The sequence below is a fragment of the Homo sapiens genome, chromosome 14 (assembly GCF_000001405.40).
Source record: "Homo sapiens chromosome 14, GRCh38.p14 Primary Assembly".
NCBI lineage: Eukaryota > Metazoa > Chordata > Mammalia > Primates > Hominidae > Homo > Homo sapiens.
The window spans coordinates 64,572,367-64,589,869 of NC_000014.9; the positions used below are offsets into that span (position 1 = coordinate 64,572,367).

Below are 17,503 nucleotides of genomic sequence, written 5' to 3' on the forward strand. Positions count from 1 at the left end.
ACTGGCTTTGTATTTAAGGCAGTTTTACAAAATTAGATGAAAACAGTATGGGGGAATGGTTTCCAGACACAGAAATGTGGTGCAAACAGGCCACCTCTGCCTGGAGTTTTGTATATAGGTTAGCTTCTCTTGAGTATTTTTTTTTCATAGCTTTTTCCTTTTTTTTCCATTTCAACACATCAGTTCTTTATGTATATGTGCATATGGGGTCTAGGGACCACTTGCCTTGGAATCATTTGGGAAGATTGTTTTAAATTTCCTGGGCTAGACCCAGACTCCTGAGCCAGAATCTTGGAGAGAGGGTTGCACTGGGAATTTGCACTGTTAGCAAGTATCCCCAGTGATTCTTTCATAATTCATAGGTTTATTAAAACTTGAGAAGCATTGGCCTAAAAGCTTCAAGGCATTCCTTGGTGGCTGTAGTTTGATTTGGTTGTTTTCTACAGCAAAAGAAGAATATTAGCTACTGGCAGCTCTGGCAGAGTAGGGTGACCAGTGAGGGTGGAGCTGCTGAAGGAAACAGGCACAGGGGTGTGGCCACTGGGGTGCATCTGGAGGGGTGTGTTTGGGTTATATCCTCCATGCCATGAGGGGAAGGGGGTGTATTAAGGATAATACAGTTTGTCTTTGTATTAAGGATAATAATAACTGTTCTTGCTGACTTCATGGAGTCAGTCCAATGGTTATATCAGAAGGGGCAGTCATTTGTCCCTGTTTAGAGTAAATATCATTTGGTGTCTAGTGACACCTCACTTTTCCATAAGAGTACAACTCACTTTTCAATAACAGTACATTGGAATGTATCATCAGCAATATTTCCTACTGTATTGTATAGCAGAAACTTAAAATTTGGCTTCAGACATGCTGTAACCTAAGAACAGTTTGTCTTTGTGAAAGTTCATTTGCAATTCAATTGGAACTGCAGCTGGTTTCACAGGGAAGCAGTGTTATTGTAACTGATGCCAAAGTTCCCAGAGTAGTAGTTCACAGATGCCTTCTTAGCAAACACAGCTACACTCAAAATGGAGAGTTGGTCCTTGTTCACATGTTGAGCCCCCAAGCTCAGTAGTGACATAGGGAACGCAGGGGAAGCTGAGGTACGTAGCCTCCACGGTTGTTTTAGGAAAATAGCAGGAAAGTAGGCTGCTAACCGCCTGAGCAACCAGTATAGATAATTTGTTAATTGAGCTGTTCTATATAAATTAGGACTACCTGCATATAAAATTGAGGATACATAACATAATCTATTAAAAAAGCGAAAATAGGCCGGGTGTGGTGGTTCATGCCTGTAATCCCAGCACTTTGGGAGGCCAAGGTGGGTGGATCACTTGAGGTCGGGAGTTCAAGACCAGCCTGGCCAACATGGTGAAACCCTGTCTCTACTAAAAATACAAAAATTAGCCAGGCATGGTGGTAGGCACCTGTAATCCCAGTTACTCGGGAGGCTGAGGCAGGAGAATTCCTTGAACCCGGGAGGTGGAGGTCTCAGTGAGCCGAGTTCATGCCACTTGCACTCCAGCTTGGGCGACACAGCGAGACTCTGTCTCAAAAAAAAAAAAAAAAAAAAAAAAAAAAAAAGCAAAAATACACCATAAGCTTGAGATGCTGATTCCAATGATTAAATATGAAGGGACTTTAAGGATTTTCCTATACCATTGCTTAAATAACATAAACTCATTGGTAAGTGAAGTCTGTTGACTCACTTGTATTTCTTTCAGAATAGTTTATGGCTGGGCACACTGGCTCACGCCTGCCATCCCAACACTTTGGGAGGCCAAGGGGAGGATCACTTGAGTCCAGGAGTTCAAGATTAGCCTGGACAACAGAGTGAGACCCTGCCTCTACACAAAATAAAAAAAGATTAGCCAGGCATGGTGGCATGCGCCTATGAGGCAGGAGGATTGCTTGAGCCCTGGAGGTTGAGGCTGCAGTGAGCTGTGATCGCACCACTGCACTCCAGCCTAGGTAGCAGAGCAAGACTCTGTCTTAAAGAAAAGAAGAAAAGTTTATAATTCTGACTTTTTGCTAGTTAATATAGGCACTTATGACAATTAACCCAAATTCTCTTTTTTTTGTCCTCCCCATCAGAGGCCTTGTAGAGAAAAAAGAAATGGAATTGGTTTTAAGTGAATTAGAAGCAGCACAGAGGTACTTGGCGCAGAAGTACTGTATCCTTGTGCTGGGCTTGGCCGTGCCGGATAAGCATCACATGTGCTGTGGAAAGTAAGCAGATACTTACACTTCATTAGATCATCACTCCATCATAGACTCACATCCTTAAGATGCTTCCGTTTGACTTTTGTTACCTTGAGAAAATGTTCCTTTTTCTGTTGTCCAGAGTAATTGGGCTCAGGTGAGAATCTGTCCCAAACCCTTGTAATGTCTCCTTTGAGAGACCAAAGTGCATGTGGAAGAAATCTCAGAATCTCAGCGGATATTTTTAAAACTTTCCACTGCTTGAGATTGAATGACATGGTCTCTCAGTGAAATCTTGCTCTCAACCAGGAAGGGCTCTTGCTGCCAGACTTGGCTCCCTTGGGCAGGAGGTCTGGTGGGGCCGGTAGTGCAGGGGGATTAGGTGTCTCCCTATCCTTTTACTGCTTATTTTGCAGCAGCAACAATTGTGAGTAGGAGCTGCTGAGGTGTGGATTCTAAGATGGTTCTTTGTGGGAAGATCATTTTTACCTTAGGATGACTATTTTTACACCACTGTAATTAAAACTTAAAGAGGAGTCTCATCACAGGTTTGGGATCACAAGGTCGAACACATCAACCCTTAACTCAGAATCTCCTTCTCTGAGTTTCACAACAGGCCCCAGATCTACCTCATGGTCATAGCCAGAACAGTTTTTTTCCCCCATAGGAAAATAATTATTCCCCCCATAGGAAAAGAACCTAGTACATGATGTGTCTCTTTCTACATTCTCCACATTTTCAAAGACCAGCTTTGTCAATGAGCATACTTACACAGTTGTTGGTATATACATTTTTGTATTCTGTATTTCCTGGGTACTTTCTCTTATTATTCTGACTATGTGATTTCACTTACCACTTTGAATAGGATTCTGTTATGTAACATACATATTTGCTTAACCATTCTTTTTGTGTACATTTGCATAATTTTAGTTTTTGTGTGTTATAATATTTCTGCATTGAATATTCTTTGTTCATTTGGACTATTTCCTTATGGCTTATTTTCCACAGTATATTTACCTAGAAAGCCACAGTTTTGTAGCTCTTGATACATACTGCTAGATTGTTCTCTATAAAGGTTAAGACATTTTGGGGTTTTTTTTTTTTTTGAGACATAGTCTTGCTCTGTTGCCCAGGCTGGACTGCAGTGGCACGATCTTGGCTCACTGCAAGCCCCGCCTCCTGGGTTCACGCCATTCTCCTGTCTCAGCCTCCCAAGTAGCTGGGACTACAGGCGCCCGCCACCACGCCCAGCTAATTTTTTGTATTTTTAGTAGAGACAGGGTTTCACCATGTTAGCCAGGATGGTCTCGATCTCCTGACCTCGTGATCCACCCGCCTCGGCCTCCCAAAGTGCTGGGATTACAGGTGTGAGCCACTGCGCCTGGCCTAGTTTAAGACATTTTGTATTACCATCAGCAGTAAGTATATCTGGTTGCATTGGGTTTTATTACTTTAATATTTTTGATAGTTTAAAGGTGTATAAAAAGCTTAAAGATGTTTTATTTGACTGAGTATCTTTTTTTTTTTTTTTTTTTTGACAAAGTCTCGCTCTTGTCCCCATAGGCTGGAGTGCAATGGTGTGATCTCGGCTCACTGCAACCTCTGCCTCCCAGGTTCAAGTGATTCTCCTGTCTCGGCCTCCCGAGTAGCTGGGATTACAGGCACACACCACCATGCCTGATTAATTTTTGTATTTTTAGTAGAGATGGGGTTTCACCATATTGGTCAGGCTGGTCTCAAACTCCTGACCTCAGGTGATCCACCCACCTCAGCCTCCCAAAGTGCTGGGATTACGGGCATGAGCCACGGCACTCCGCCCTAATTCGTTCTTTAGTTGGGTAGATTTTTTCCAAGTTACCCAGGGTCTGAGAGGCACAGGCATATGTTCTCTAATTTCTTCTTGGCTATTCATAAGGATCGTATATTAGTTTATAAAGTTAAAAAACAGATATACATATGAAGTTTCTCTCAGATGGAACTTGATATTTATTGATGTTTGCATCGATATACTTTCAGTTCAGGCTCACTTTCTTTGTTTTGTTGGTTGTATCTTGGCGTTGTCGGCCATTTCTCTTCTCTTGCACCCCTGTTTCTATAGTGGTGGATGTCCTCGATCCACTTCCAAGGCCCAGCATCTCTGTGATTTGATTCACCATGTGTGTGTGATTTTTCATGATTTGGGAATACACTCTTAATGTGTATTCCTGACAACACCCATTCTTTATTCTACTACATCCGTTCTGCAGCTTTCAAGTTTTTGTTGCTGCAGTTCTGTTATGGAGTTGACAAGTTTGGTTCTGCTTTCCAGCATGGGACGATGAAAATGTGGCACTCAGGGAGCGTAACTGAGCAGTGGCCCCAGCTGTTGCACCTGAATCCACCACCAGGTCTGCACTGAGGCCACATGTTTTAGCCTGTTTGGGTTGCTATAGCAAAGTACCATAGACAGGGTGGCTTATAAACAACAGAAATGTATTTCTCAGAGTTCTACAGGCTGCAGGTCTAAGATCAGTATACCAGCATGGTCAGGCTCTGGTGAGGGCCCTCTTCTAGGTTGCAGACTGCCAGCTTCTCATTGTATCCTCACCATGGCAGAAAGAGGATGACAGAGCTTTCTGGGGTCTCTTTTCTAGAACACTAATTCACACAATGCATACGGGCTCTATGTCCGTGACTTAATTACTTCCAAAGGCCTCACATCCTGAGACCATCACACTGGGAGTTAGTATTTCAACATATGAATTTTGGGGGAACACAAACATTCAGCTCATTGCACCATGCCTCCCACAGGCTGCCTCCTGCCAGTGTCTGGGTGCAGCAAGCCCATTCCCCACAGTTGCGGGACTTCTCTGACTGACAGCGTCAGCTTGAGGACTCCCCTTTGGCCTGGTCAAAACTTTCCTAGAGCTGTGCCTCTGTCTGAGTTCCTTCCTACCCAGACCCTCCTGCCTTTCCTCTCTCACAGGGTCAGACATGCATTGAGGTGTGACGGCACTCCTTGCCTTCTCCAGTTCTCTCCTCATTTTCTGTCACCATAATTTTCTCCAATAAATCTTGTCTTTCTCCAATAAATCTCATGTCTAGTCCTGTCTTGGTGTCTGCTTCTGATAACATATCCAACATCATAGCATTTTTAAGCTTTGCTGCCATGATTACTTTTTTTTTTTTTTTTTTTTTTTTTGAGATGGAATCTCACTCTGTCACCCAGGCTGGAGTGCAGTGGTGCGATCTTGGCTCACTGCAAACTCTGCCTTCCGGGTTCACGCTGTTCTCCTGCCTCAGCCTCCCGAGTAGCTGGGACTACAGGCGCCCGCCACCACGCCCGGCTAATTTTTTGTATTTTTAGTAGAGACAGGGTTTCACCATGTTAGCCAGAATGGTCTCGATCTCCTGACCTTGTGATCCGCCTGCCTCGGCCTCCCAAAGTGCTGGGATTACAGGCGTGAACCACTGCACCTGGCCTTTTTTTTTTGAGATGGAGTTTCACTCTTGTTGCCCAGGCTGGAGTGCAATGGCGCGATCTCGGCCCACCACAAACTCTGCTACCACGCCTGGCTAATTTTTTGTATTTAGTAGAGATGGGGTTTCACCATGTTAGTCAGGCTGGTCTTGAATTCCTGACCTCAGGTGATCCACCTGCCTCGGCCTCCCAAAGTGCTGGAATTATAGGTATGTGCCACCATGCTTGGCACTTTTTGTGTCTTTCAAAAGTACAGTCAGTCCTCATCTTTTATGCATTCAGCTTTCTACAGCCTGTTGTTCTTTCTTACAGTAACGCTCCTAAACCAGTGTTTTTCAGAGTACAACACATTAATGGATCTTGAAATCAATTTAGTAAGTCTTGAAGAGAGTAGACTAGAACTTTAAAAATCAGAGTACATCATAAAAAGTAAAAGTAAGTATTGTTTTAGGAGACTTGTTTCAGTGTGTACTGGGGACTCTATTAAATATATTTCTTTCTGTGGGTTACAGTAAAAAATAAAAACCACAATGAGATACTATTTCACATCAGTCAGAATGGCCATTATTAAAAAGTCAAAAAATAACAGATGCTGGCTAGGTTGCAGAGAAAAGGGAACGCTTATACACTGTTGGTGGGATGTAAATTAGTTCAACCATTGTGGAAAGCAGTATGGTGATTCCTCAAAGAGCTAAAAGCAGAACTACCATTCAACCCAGCATTCCCATTACTGGGTATATACCCAGAGGAATGTGAAGCATTCTGTCATAAAGACACATGCATGCAAATGTTCACTGCAGCACTGTTCACAATAGCAAAGACATGGAATCAACCTAAATGCCCAACAGTGACACACTGGATAAAGAAAAGGTGGTACGTTTACACCTTGGAATACTCTGCAGCTATAAAAAAGAATGAGATCATGCCTTCTGTGGGAACATGGATAGAGCTGGAGGCTATTATCCTTAGCAAACTAGCACAGGAGCAGAAAACGAAATACTGCATGTTCTCATTTATTTATAAGTCGGAGCTAAATGATAAGAACTTATGAACACAAAGAAAGAAGCAACAGACACTGGGGTCCACTTGAGGTGGGAATGGTAGGAGGAGGGAGAGGAGCAGAAAAGATAAGTATTGTCTACTGAGCTTAATACCTGAGCGATGTGATAATACGTACAACAAACCCCCGTGACTCGTGTTTATCTATTTAACAAACCTTCACATGTACCCCCAAACCTAAAATAAAAATTAAAAGAAAAAAGAAACCCAAAAGGACAAGAGCATATATAAACTAATGGAATTATTACATTTAATCTCTCTGATGAGTGAGGTATAGTAGTAGATTTAATATAGAGATACTTAAAAGTTGGGGATGTTTCAGCATCAAAAATACCTTCCTGTGATCCAAAAACAGGAAGCTTTTACAGGTGTTTAGGGCTGTTGGTGGAGGTTCAGCTTGCTATAGACTTCATTGTTTAGAAAGAAGTAGTGTTTTCTCTTGACAAAGTTTTTAGGAAAAGCATTATGATAAAATTACAGTCATCTTTACAGTTTCCTACTCAATCATTTATAACATCACTATTAATATTGACACTAATTTCTTTTGTCTTTAAAGTGTCACTTCTAGTTAGAAAACTAGGATTTAAGGTTAAAAAACCTGCTCTTGGGCCAGGCGCGGTGGCTCACGCCTGTAATCCCAGCACTTTGGGAGGCCGAGGTGAGCAGATCACGAGGTCAGGAGATCGAGACCATCCTGGCTAACACGGCGAAACCCCATCTCTACTAAAAATACAAAAAATTAGCCGGGCGTGGTGGCGGGCGCCTGTAGTCCCAGCTACTAGGGAGGCTGAGGCAGGAGAATAGCGTGAACCTGGGAGGCGCAGCTTGCAGTGAGCTGAGATCGCGCCACTGCACTCCAGCCTGGGCGACAGAGCGAGACTCCGTCTCAAAAAACAAAAAAAACAAAACAAAAACATGCTCTTAAGAAATGATTTTGGCCAGGCACAGTGGCTCATGCCTGTAATCCCAGCACTTTGGGAGACTGAGGCAGGAAAGTCACTTGAGCCCAGGAGTTCGAGACCAGCCCGGGCAACACAGTGAGAGCCTCTCTCCAGAAAAAAATTAAAGAATTAGCTGGGCATGGTGGTGCATGCCTGTAGTTCCAGCCACCTGGGAGGCTGAGGTGGGAGAACTGCTTGAGCCAGGGAGGTTGAGGCTGCAATGTGTCATGATTGTGCTACTTACTGCACTCCAACCTGGTGACAGAACAACACCCTGCCTCAAAAAAATTTTTTTTAAATTTCTCATACTTAATGTTTAATCTTTAAAAACACATATACATTGCAAACCAATGTTGGGATAAAAAGCAAACTATAAACAATTATACCATAATTAGAGAATTTATAATATTTTTTAGTTCTCGGCATAGAGCCTCCACTGAAGTAATTATACTTTTTCCAAGGCAATTTTTACACAAACCTTTAAAGGAACACATATGTTTGAAAGTAGATGATGGCCTCTGGTTAGCACTAGCTCATTTCCAGATGGTGCTGGTCATTTTTCCACTGTATGCGACATAACCCATGTTTCCTCTGCCTGCTGGATAGCAGTTTATAGAAGAATGAGCGCAGATCTCACCACCCACGTAACAAATTCCATACAGGTCAAACGCTGAACAAAGGACATAAAAGACAGACTGGAACAGGTTTTTGCCATGATTCGGAAGTTTATATTGTTCTTTTGGTGGCTTTTATGCAGGAGAAGATGAGGACAATGTTTTTGCCGGTTATAAGTGATTAACTCATTTTAACATTCCACTTCTTTCCGATTTCAGTAAGCTAATATTTTCATGTGTATTTTCTGACTTTTCTCTTTCATATATGTGTTACCGAAGTGAACTGGGGTCCGCTTGCCTGATGCAGTCAGGTGAAACATCCACACCGTGGTTTGTAATATCAGGAGAAAGGAGGGTATTTATTTGCAGGTTGGCAAGCAAGTAGAATCAGGCAGCTCTCACTTAAGACCTGACCTCTCTGATGGCTTGTAAGCAAGGGTTTTTAAAGGCAGGAGTACATTTCAGGAAAGCAGAAGTTACAGGCAAAGTTGTAAATCAATACATAGAGGTTATATATTGGTTTGGACTAAAAAGGCAGGATATTTTGAAGCGGGGCCTTACAGGTCATAAGCAGATTCCAAGATTTTCTGATTTGGTTAAGGTAGAGCAGCTTTGTTTTAAAAACTTGGGGTCTGCAGAAAGATGTGTTAGGTCTGGCTCATGTACATGACTTCTAGGCCTCTCAGGAAGAACTTTAGAACAATGAATGCAGTTAGAGTTCAGTCCTCAGTCTCCCCTTATCTGAGGTCTACATGCCAGTGGACCCATTTGGTGGGGGTCTGAGTTTCTGAAAAACAACGCAGGGACATATGTTAAAATGTTATTTTTACTTTATATAGGGAACCAAACATCTTGTGACTCTAACTTCCTTGGCTGTCTTTTAAGCTACTGTTATCTTCTTATCAAGTTGCTCATTTACTTCTCAGGGCTAGCTAGGTGCCTGGAATTTCCCTTACAAGAACTCAAGGCTTCCCTTTATTTCCATGTTTGGGGGTGGGGGTGGGGTGGCAGATCCCTAAGTGTGGGGGGTGGTCCCTGTTTTGTCTCATGTGCACACTTAATATTTGACTACAACACATTATGCTGCGTATCTCTATGATTAAAGATTTTAGTAGAACCAGCAGTTTGGGTGCTGTTAATTTAGTGCTTTCATGTCTCTTGAGAAGTAGAAGGATGTGCCTTTAAATGTCTGAGGAACCCTGACATCCTGAAAGCTTTGGCAGAATTTTGATGAACACGTTCAGTAAAAGTTCTCTGTGTTTTCCAAGTTAGATATGAAAACCTCCTTGGTGGCAGGCACATGCCATAGTTAGATCTCTTTGGTGATGGCCAATGCTGGCTCCACCCCCGCCTCTACGCTAGTATTTATACCTTCTTCCACTGTTCTCAGTGCAGCTGTCACTTGATGGGCAACCAGAGAGGCTAGCGGTGGGGCTGACGGGGAAAAAGGGAGTCTTTTTGAAACTCAGGTGTGTAAATTATCCCTAAGCCCTATTCCTCTACCCTTACCCCCAGTCACATGCACCAAAGCCTCTTTCCCCTCCCCTAAAATACATCCCTTTGACACTCTTGTATAGAGCAGGCCTTGACCTTCTTTTAAACCTGATTTCACCTAGAGCAGCAGGGGGCAAGTGGGGGAGCACAACTTTTTTTCTCCCTAGCCCAGAACCCTGGGTCTAGACTTTGTTTCCCTTTAGGAATGACAAATCATAAAATATACTTTCCTCATTTTGATTTGGAGCCAAGAGTCTAAGGTAGCAAGAAGGAATAAGAGAGCATCATAACAGGCCACTAAAATTCTCTAGATTTACTACCAGGCTGGCTTTCCCCTCTTTCCTTTGGGTTGTGTCCTCAAACATGGAATGCATGGTGTCTGTGCTGACCAGCATGGTGGCCACTTGCCACACGCGGCTGTTGAGCACTTTGAAATGTAGTAGTCCAAATTGAAACATACTATAAGTGAAAAATAAGCACTGTACACAGAAAGTCTAAATATGAATAAAACATCTCAATACTTTAGAAATATTGCTTCTATATTGAAATGATAATATTTTGGGGGTTTGGATAAAATTTATTATTAAAATTAGCTTCACTTGTTTCTCTTCACTGTGGCTACTAGAAAATTTAAAATTAATTTATGGCTTGCATTATATTTCCACGGATTGTATTGTTTAAACCCCATTTCTATTTGCAGACGATTCTGGGAGGCTTAAATTTTGTTATTTTAATTTTTTAAAATTTAATTTAATTTATTTTTATTTTTTATTTTTTTTGAGATAGGGTCTCACTTTGCCACCCAGGCTAGAGTGCAGTGGCACTATCTTGGCTCACTGCAGCCTCAACTTCCTGTTCTCAAGCGATCCTCCCACCTGGCCCCATAAGTAGCTGGGACTACAAGGCGTGTGCCACCACTCCCAGCTATATATATATATATATATATTTTTTTTTTGTATTTTTGTAGAGATCGCGTTTTGCCATCTTGCCCAGGCTGGTCTTGAACTCCTGAGCTCAAGCGATCTGCCTGCCTTGGCTTTCCAAAGCGCTAGAATTACAGGTGTGAGCCACCATGCCAGGCCAATTTTGTTATTTTATAATCAATAAATTTTTAAATTTATAATCAATTTATTTTAAGTATATGTACTTAATATAAAAATTATAAAATACCAAAATAGACAGGAAAACGACTCAAAATATACCAGCCAGAAGTAAATTTGTAGAGCTTTTAACTATGAAGTCCCCAGATGTATTCACTGTATGCACCCATTTCCTGGACGCATTTCTATTTCATATGCAGGGCTAAATCAGAATGGCAAGAAGAAACCCATGACATTCTGTACTTAATTTTTGCAGTATGGGTTACATCAGTTTGCTTTGGGCATTAAGAGAGAAAGAGTTAGGCCGGGCGCTGTGGCTCACGCCTGTAACCCCAGCACTTCAGGAGGCCGAGACAGGCGGATCACCTGAGGTCAGGAGTTTGAGACAGCCATGACCAACACAGAGAAACCCCATCTCTACTAAAAATACAAAATTAGCCAGGCGTGGTTGCGCATGTCTGTAATCCCAGCTACTTGGGAGGCTGAGGCAGGAGAATCGTTTGAACCCGGGAGGCAGAGGTTGCGGTGAGCCAAGATCGTGCCATTGCACTCCAGCCTAGACAAGAGTGAAACTCCATCTCAAAAAAAAAAAAAAAAAAAAAAGAGAGAAAGAGTTCCAGTGTGTATGGCAACTCGAGGGAAAGTGGAAAGAGGTTCATGTTACCTCCTCTTTTTTTTTTTTTTTTTTGAGATGGAATCTTGCTCTGTCGCCCAGGCTGGAGTGCAGTGACGTGATCTTGGCTCACTGCAACCTCCGCCTCCTGGGTTCAAGCAATTCTCCCTGACTCAGCCTCCCGAGTAGCTGGGATTACAGGCACCTGCCACCACGCCCGGCTAATTTTTGTATTTTTAGTAGAGATGGTGTTTCGCCATGTTGGCCAGGCTGGTCTTGAACTCCTGACCTCAGGTGATCCGCCTGCCTTAGCATCCCAAAGTGCTGGGATTACAGGCGTGAGCCACTGTGCCCAGCCTTACCTTCTCTTCTAATGTCTAAAAAAAGAACCCAGAAAGAAAAGGAAAGAAAGTGTGTTTCCTGGGCAATCACTCTCATTTCAAAACCATGCTAAGATGGTGCTGGTTTGCCTTGTGCTGATGTGAGCTCTGCTCTAGATCTCCCAGAATACAAGCTGACTTTATTCCCAAAACAGACTTTGGCTAGTTTTCTTGCTTCAGCTTGGCAGGTGTTCATGGTCTCTGGTTTCAGCTGGCAGAAGATTTACAGTTAGTTATGGAAGAGGAGCTTTGAAAGGGTGGAAATTTCACATCAGCACACCCCTCAGGTGGAGGCCTCAGGTGGCACAGAGAAGAAATGCTGAGGCTTGCTCTGAAAAGTTTCCGCTGAGCTCTGTTGTTCAGTACGTTTATCTGCAAACTATTTTAAAGAAAAAAGCTTATTCTCCTCACAGTCCAGTTATGAGGACAGACGTGGGTATCTGACAGGCCCGAGTTTTAGTACAGGATCTGTCCCTAATTAGATATATGTCTTTGGACTTAAGTCTCAACTTTAGTTTCCTCAGTTGAGAAGTGGGAATAATAATGTTGACTATACCATAGGGATGTTATGAAGACCAGATATGATAATACATGTAAAGGGCTTAGCGTGGTGCAGGATGTTATAAAGACTAGATAGGATCATACATGTAAAGGGCTTAGTGCAGTACCCGGCACATAGTCCATACTTAGTCCATGTTCACTCTAATTGCTATTGCCGTAGTTCTTTATTGAAGACTTGCACATGAAGAAACCAATATATAATGAAGAGAGTCTGTAGGAGGGGAGGGGCAGGCCCCAGTAACCACCTCTTTGGCCTCATTCCCCAAGTGGAGGGCTAGTTTGGGCCCATTCAGACCAGGAAGTCCCTGTGAGAAGGCCGAAGGTCCTGTGAGGTTTGGGTCATCTTTCCCAGACTGTGGGAGTTCAGGATGGTTCTGGAGAGCCTGGTACCAAGGCCAATCCTCAGAGTCACAGTTCCTCCAAGGAAGGCCCCAACAAAAGCAGAAGCAGGCCGGGCACCTTGGCTCACGCCTGTCATCCCATCACTTTGGGAGGGTGAGGTAGGTGGATAGCTTGAGCTCAGGAGTTCGAGACCAGCCTGGCCAACATGGTGAAACCCCATCTCTACAAAAAATACAAAAATTAGCTGGTCATGTTGGTGTGTGCCTGTAGTCTCAGCTACTTGGGAGGCTGAGGTGGGAGGATCACCTAAGCCTGGGGAGGTCAGGGCTGCCGTGAGCCATGATCATGCTACTGTGCTCCAGCCTGGATGACAGAATGAGACCCTGTCTCAAAAAAAAAAAAAAAAAAAAAAAATTAGCCAGTGTGGTGGTGTATACTTGTGGTCCCAGCTTCTTGTGAGGCTGAGGTGGGTACCAGGCTCTCCAGAACCATCCTGAACTCCTACAGTCTGGTGGGAGGATTGGGAGGTGGGAGGATTGCTTGAGCCCAGAAGGTCAAGGCTATAGTGAGCTATGATCACACTACTGCACTCCAGCTCTGTCTTAAAAAAGAAGCAAAACCAGGATCAGCCTTGAAGTGTCCAGGGTCTGGCCTTGGCCGCTGTGACTGATCAAGTGACTGCAGGTGCATAACCCCCTCAGTCAACTCTCAAGGGCTCCCCAGACCAGGCCTGGTTTCCTAGGCTGGGAGTCAGAATCAGAATTGTTAGGAGGGGAGGCCATGTTCACTAATTGCGCCCATGCCAGTATAGTATTCTTTTTTTTTCTTTTTGAGATGGAGTCTTGCTCTGTTGCCCAGGCTGGAGTGCAGTGGCACAATCTCGGCTTACTGCAACTTCTACCTCCCGGGTTCAAGCAATTCTCCTGCCTCAGCCTCCCGAGTAGCTGGGATTAGAGGCGCCCGCCACCACACCCAGCTAATTTTTGTACTTTTAGTAGAGCTAATTTTTGTACTTTTAGTACTTTTAGTACTTTAACAGCGTCACCATGTTGGCCAGGCTGGTCTGAAACTCCTGGCCTCAAGTGATCCACGCACCTCGGCCTCCCAAAGTGCTAATTACAGGCGTAAGCCACTGCATCTTGCCAAGTATAGTATTCTTAACATTGAATTTGTGTTGCAAGGACTCCTGGGAAGAGAGAAGACTCAGGTTTGTCCATGCCCATCAGAAGGAGGAGCACACTGCCGTTCTCAGTCTATTGGTTGTTTTGGCATAGATCTTTGTGGATTTTGTTTCTGTTTCTTTTTGTACCCAATAGCCATAACTATTGTTTGCTAATTCTTTTCCTTTTCTTTATTGCAGACTTACCCTCTAGTTCTCTGCTTCCTCTTTACCACCTTTCCACTCTCCTTACCTCCCCAACACTCAAATTACCAGAAGCCTTTGGAAGAATACATTTCCTCACTGGTTTGTTTACCCCAAATTTATATTGATTAACTTTTTACCATTCTAGGAGTTTTGATCTGGGTAACGTAGGAGGTTGAATAAGAAAGTATTGAGACTCTTTATCAATGCCTTTTGATAGCATTTGTGTAGCTGAAAATAATCTTGGGGCCAAGATAATGACCCTAACTTTAGAGAAAGATAAGGACTAGTACCCTGAAAGATTGAACTTCCCTCTCAACCTATAGTTGTGACTTGTTATATTACAGGGAGAAAATATCAGATACACAGAAAGACTGGAAGTTCTTTGAGGTGAGTCACTTATGTTTTGGTGCTTTTTGATATGAAACAATATATACCAACAACCAATGGCCATTTGTCAGGCACTTATTTTTAGTGAATATCCTTTCTAAAAGACGGTGCTAACAAGCTATATGCTATACCTTAAATTGTTGGTCTGATTTTCCTCATGCAAAAGTGAGTATGTGTATAATTTTTCATTGTTTCAGGAATATTGGGAAATTGGGTCATCTGGGTTTGTGTCTGCTTAGCTGTGTTATACAGACAGGTAAGAGTTTTCCATTTCACAGCTAAGGATCGTGATTCTTGTCTATTTTTTGTTGTAGTCCTTTTATACTTTCTGTACATATGTGGCTTGGATTGTCTTCCGACGTCAACACTTGACAGAGATTGAAGAAGAAGTAGGGAGACTCTTTCGTACCAATATGTTCAACATTCCTCGCAGGAGGCGTGAAGATGAGGAATCAGGAGGGGAAAAGAAACGCATGACTTTTGTTCAGTTCAGGTATGACCTTTTGACTTTCCTATGCTCAGGGGTATTTCTTTTCTTCCTTTCCTTTCTTTTCTTTTCTTTTTTCTCCTTTTTTTTTTTTTTTTTTTTTTTTTTTTTTGAGACAGAGTCTTGCTCTATTGCTGAGGCTGGAGTGCAGTGGCACAAGCTTGGCTTACTGCAACGTCCGACTCCTGGGTTCAAGCAATTCTCCTGTCTCAGCCTCCCGAGTAGCTAGGATTACAGACATGCGCCACCACGCCTGGCTAATTTTTTGTATTTTTAGTAGAGACGGAGTTTCACCATGTTGGTCAAGCTGATCTCGAACTCCTAACCTCAGCTGATTCACACGCCTCAGCCTCCCAAAGTGCTGGGATTACAGGCGTGAGCCACCATGCCCAGCCTCCTCTTTTTTTTTTCAGACAGGATCTCATTCCGTCACCTAGGCTGGAAGGCAGTGGCATGATCACAGCTCACTGCAGCCTCAACCTCCCAGGCTCAAGTGATCCTCCTGTAGCTAGGACTGCAGGCATGCTGTCTCACCTGGCTACTTTTTAAAATTTTTTGTAGAGACGGGGGTCTTGCTATGTTGCCCAGGCTGGTCTCGAACTCCTGGGCTCAAGTGATCCTCCCGCCTTGATCTCCCAAAGGGTTGGGATTACAGGCATGAGCCACTGCACCTGGCCTCAAGAACATTTCTAGAAAACAGGGTGATATGACCTAAATGTCACCTTCCTCCCCGACAGGAGAATGATGGCAAAACGCCCAGCAATTAAAAAAGCTATCAACATGCGTTCTCCAGTCATGTCTACTCTGCTGCCATCTCTCAGAGAAAAAGCTCAAAACGTCTTTGAGAAAAAGTATCATCAAGTAGACGTCAGATTCCCAGCCGAGATGCAAAAGCATGTGGGAACTCTGGACTCTGTGCCCATGCCGGTGTAAGTGGCTTGGCAAGAGAAGCATGAGTGCCTTGAGGTGGCATCCCAGGTGGGGCTGGAAGGGGCAGGGGCCCAGGCACCATGCCTCTGCCAGGGAATCGAGCCATGATGACAGCCCCCATTTTCTTACTTCTGCCCTGCTCCCCTCCTAGTTTCCTTTCTAGAGAATCTTGAGGTACACCCATCTAGACCAGAAAAACAATTGCTAGAAAGTGGTGCTAGACTCCAAATAGTTCTAGTTTGGAGGAGTGAGTAACTGATTTTTTTTTTTTTTTTTTTTTTGAGACGGAGTCCCTCTCTTGTTGCCCAGGCTGGAGTGCAATGGCACAATCTCGGCTCACTTCAACCTCTGCCTCCCGAGTTTAAGTGATTCTCCTGCCTCAGCCTCCTGAGTAGCTGGGATTATAGGCATGAGCCACCACGCCCGGCTAGTTTTGTATTTTTAGTAGAGATGGGGTTTCTCCATGTTGGTCAGGCTGGTCTCAAACTCCCAGCCTCAGGTGATCTGCCCGCCTCGGCCTCCCAAAGTGCTGGGATTACAGGTGTGAGCCACCGCGCCCAGCCTGTAACTGAATTTTTTTAAGGCTGAGGTTTTTCTATTAGTAGAATCACCTTTGAGAAATGTGGGAAGCGCTAGTACAAAATCTTGCTAAGGATTTACTTTTGGACTCATATATAAGACTACAGTGGTAGTTCATGGAAACAGGGAAAGTTTTTAAAAAGAGAGAAAGAGTATATCTTAGCTTTAGTGTACATACACACACACATACATACACACAACCACAATCACAGTCTCAACCCTGCACGTCAGTCTTTGGCCTCATCACTTCAGCTATCCCAATAATTCTTTTCACAGAGTTGGCATCTTGGGGGAGCCTCGATGTCTATTCAACCCACATACGCTTCACCCCCTTGATCCAGAAGAAAACACAAAATCATTTGGGAGATATCCTTCCTTGATGGAAAACAATAACATGAGGATTCAGGATACACTGGACTTGGTCATGAAAACACTGTCCTCTCATACATCATGCCCTAAGTAACCTGGTACATTCCATATCTCAAGTAAACTACTTTGACTTTATAGAAGATGGTTATTCGTTGTTATTATTATTAAGCTTTTAAAATTTTTCAAATTATCTGGTTAAAAGTTGAACAGCAGACAAAGAATTCCTGAAAGCTCTTGAAAAGCTCATTTTCCTATTTTTAGTAGTTTGCTTTGTTTATGTATTTATTTGAGCTCTATGTGACTACTAAGAGTAATGTATTAGAACATTTAGTCAGTGCTGTAGTTTACTAGTGAAGAACCATGCTGTTTATTCATTTCTCGAATTTTTTTTTTTTTTTGAGACAGAGTCTTACTCTATAGCCCAGGCTGGAGAGCAGTGATGTGATCTCGGCTCACTGCAGCCTCCACCTTGGTCAAGCAATTTTCCTGCTTTAGCCTGAGTAGCTGTGATTACAGGCGTGCGCCACCACGCCTGGCTAATTTTTTTGTATTTTTAGTAGAGATGGGGTTTCACGATGTTGGCCAGGCTGGTCTCCAACTCCTGACCTCAAACGTTCCGCCTACC

General features: G+C 43.4%; 1 protein-coding gene across 7 annotated transcripts in view, besides 2 other annotated features; it reads left to right on the forward strand.

The window, feature by feature from the left end:
- Nucleotides 1–17,015, forward strand: part of PPP1R36 (protein phosphatase 1 regulatory subunit 36) — a 39,421-nt gene extending 22,406 nt beyond the window's left edge. For 6 of the 7 annotated variants that reach the window (XM_047430998.1, NM_172365.3, XM_047430999.1 and 3 more), the window contains 5 exons: nt 2,089–2,223; nt 14,471–14,513; nt 14,828–15,006; nt 15,738–15,929; nt 16,786–17,015. In XM_047430998.1, coding sequence (XP_047286954.1) covers nt 2,089–2,223; nt 14,471–14,513; nt 14,828–15,006; nt 15,738–15,929; nt 16,786–16,972 — 736 coding nt within the window. In that variant the 3' untranslated portion in view covers nt 16,973–17,015. The remainder of the gene's footprint in view (nt 1–2,088; nt 2,224–14,470; nt 14,514–14,827; nt 15,007–15,737; nt 15,930–16,785) is intronic. The other variant, XM_011536468.4, reaches the window with a different exon arrangement.
- Nucleotides 780–1,316: an enhancer, noted in NCBI's record as "NANOG-H3K27ac hESC enhancer chr14:65039864-65040400 (GRCh37/hg19 assembly coordinates)". NCBI's record gives its function as "activates a minimal SCP1, AML or CMV promoter by ChIP-STARR-seq in naive H9 embryonic stem cells {active_cell/tissue: H9 hESC(naive)}" and the evidence as "EXISTENCE:reporter gene assay evidence [ECO:0000049][PMID:30033119]".
- Nucleotides 805–1,099: a silencer, noted in NCBI's record as "tiled region #828; HepG2 Repressive non-DNase unmatched - State 23:Low". NCBI's record gives its function as "represses a minimal TATA promoter and a strong SV40 promoter by Sharpr-MPRA in HepG2 cells {active_cell/tissue: HepG2}" and the evidence as "EXISTENCE:reporter gene assay evidence [ECO:0000049][PMID:27701403]".
- Nucleotides 17,016–17,503: the final 488 nt, after the last annotated feature.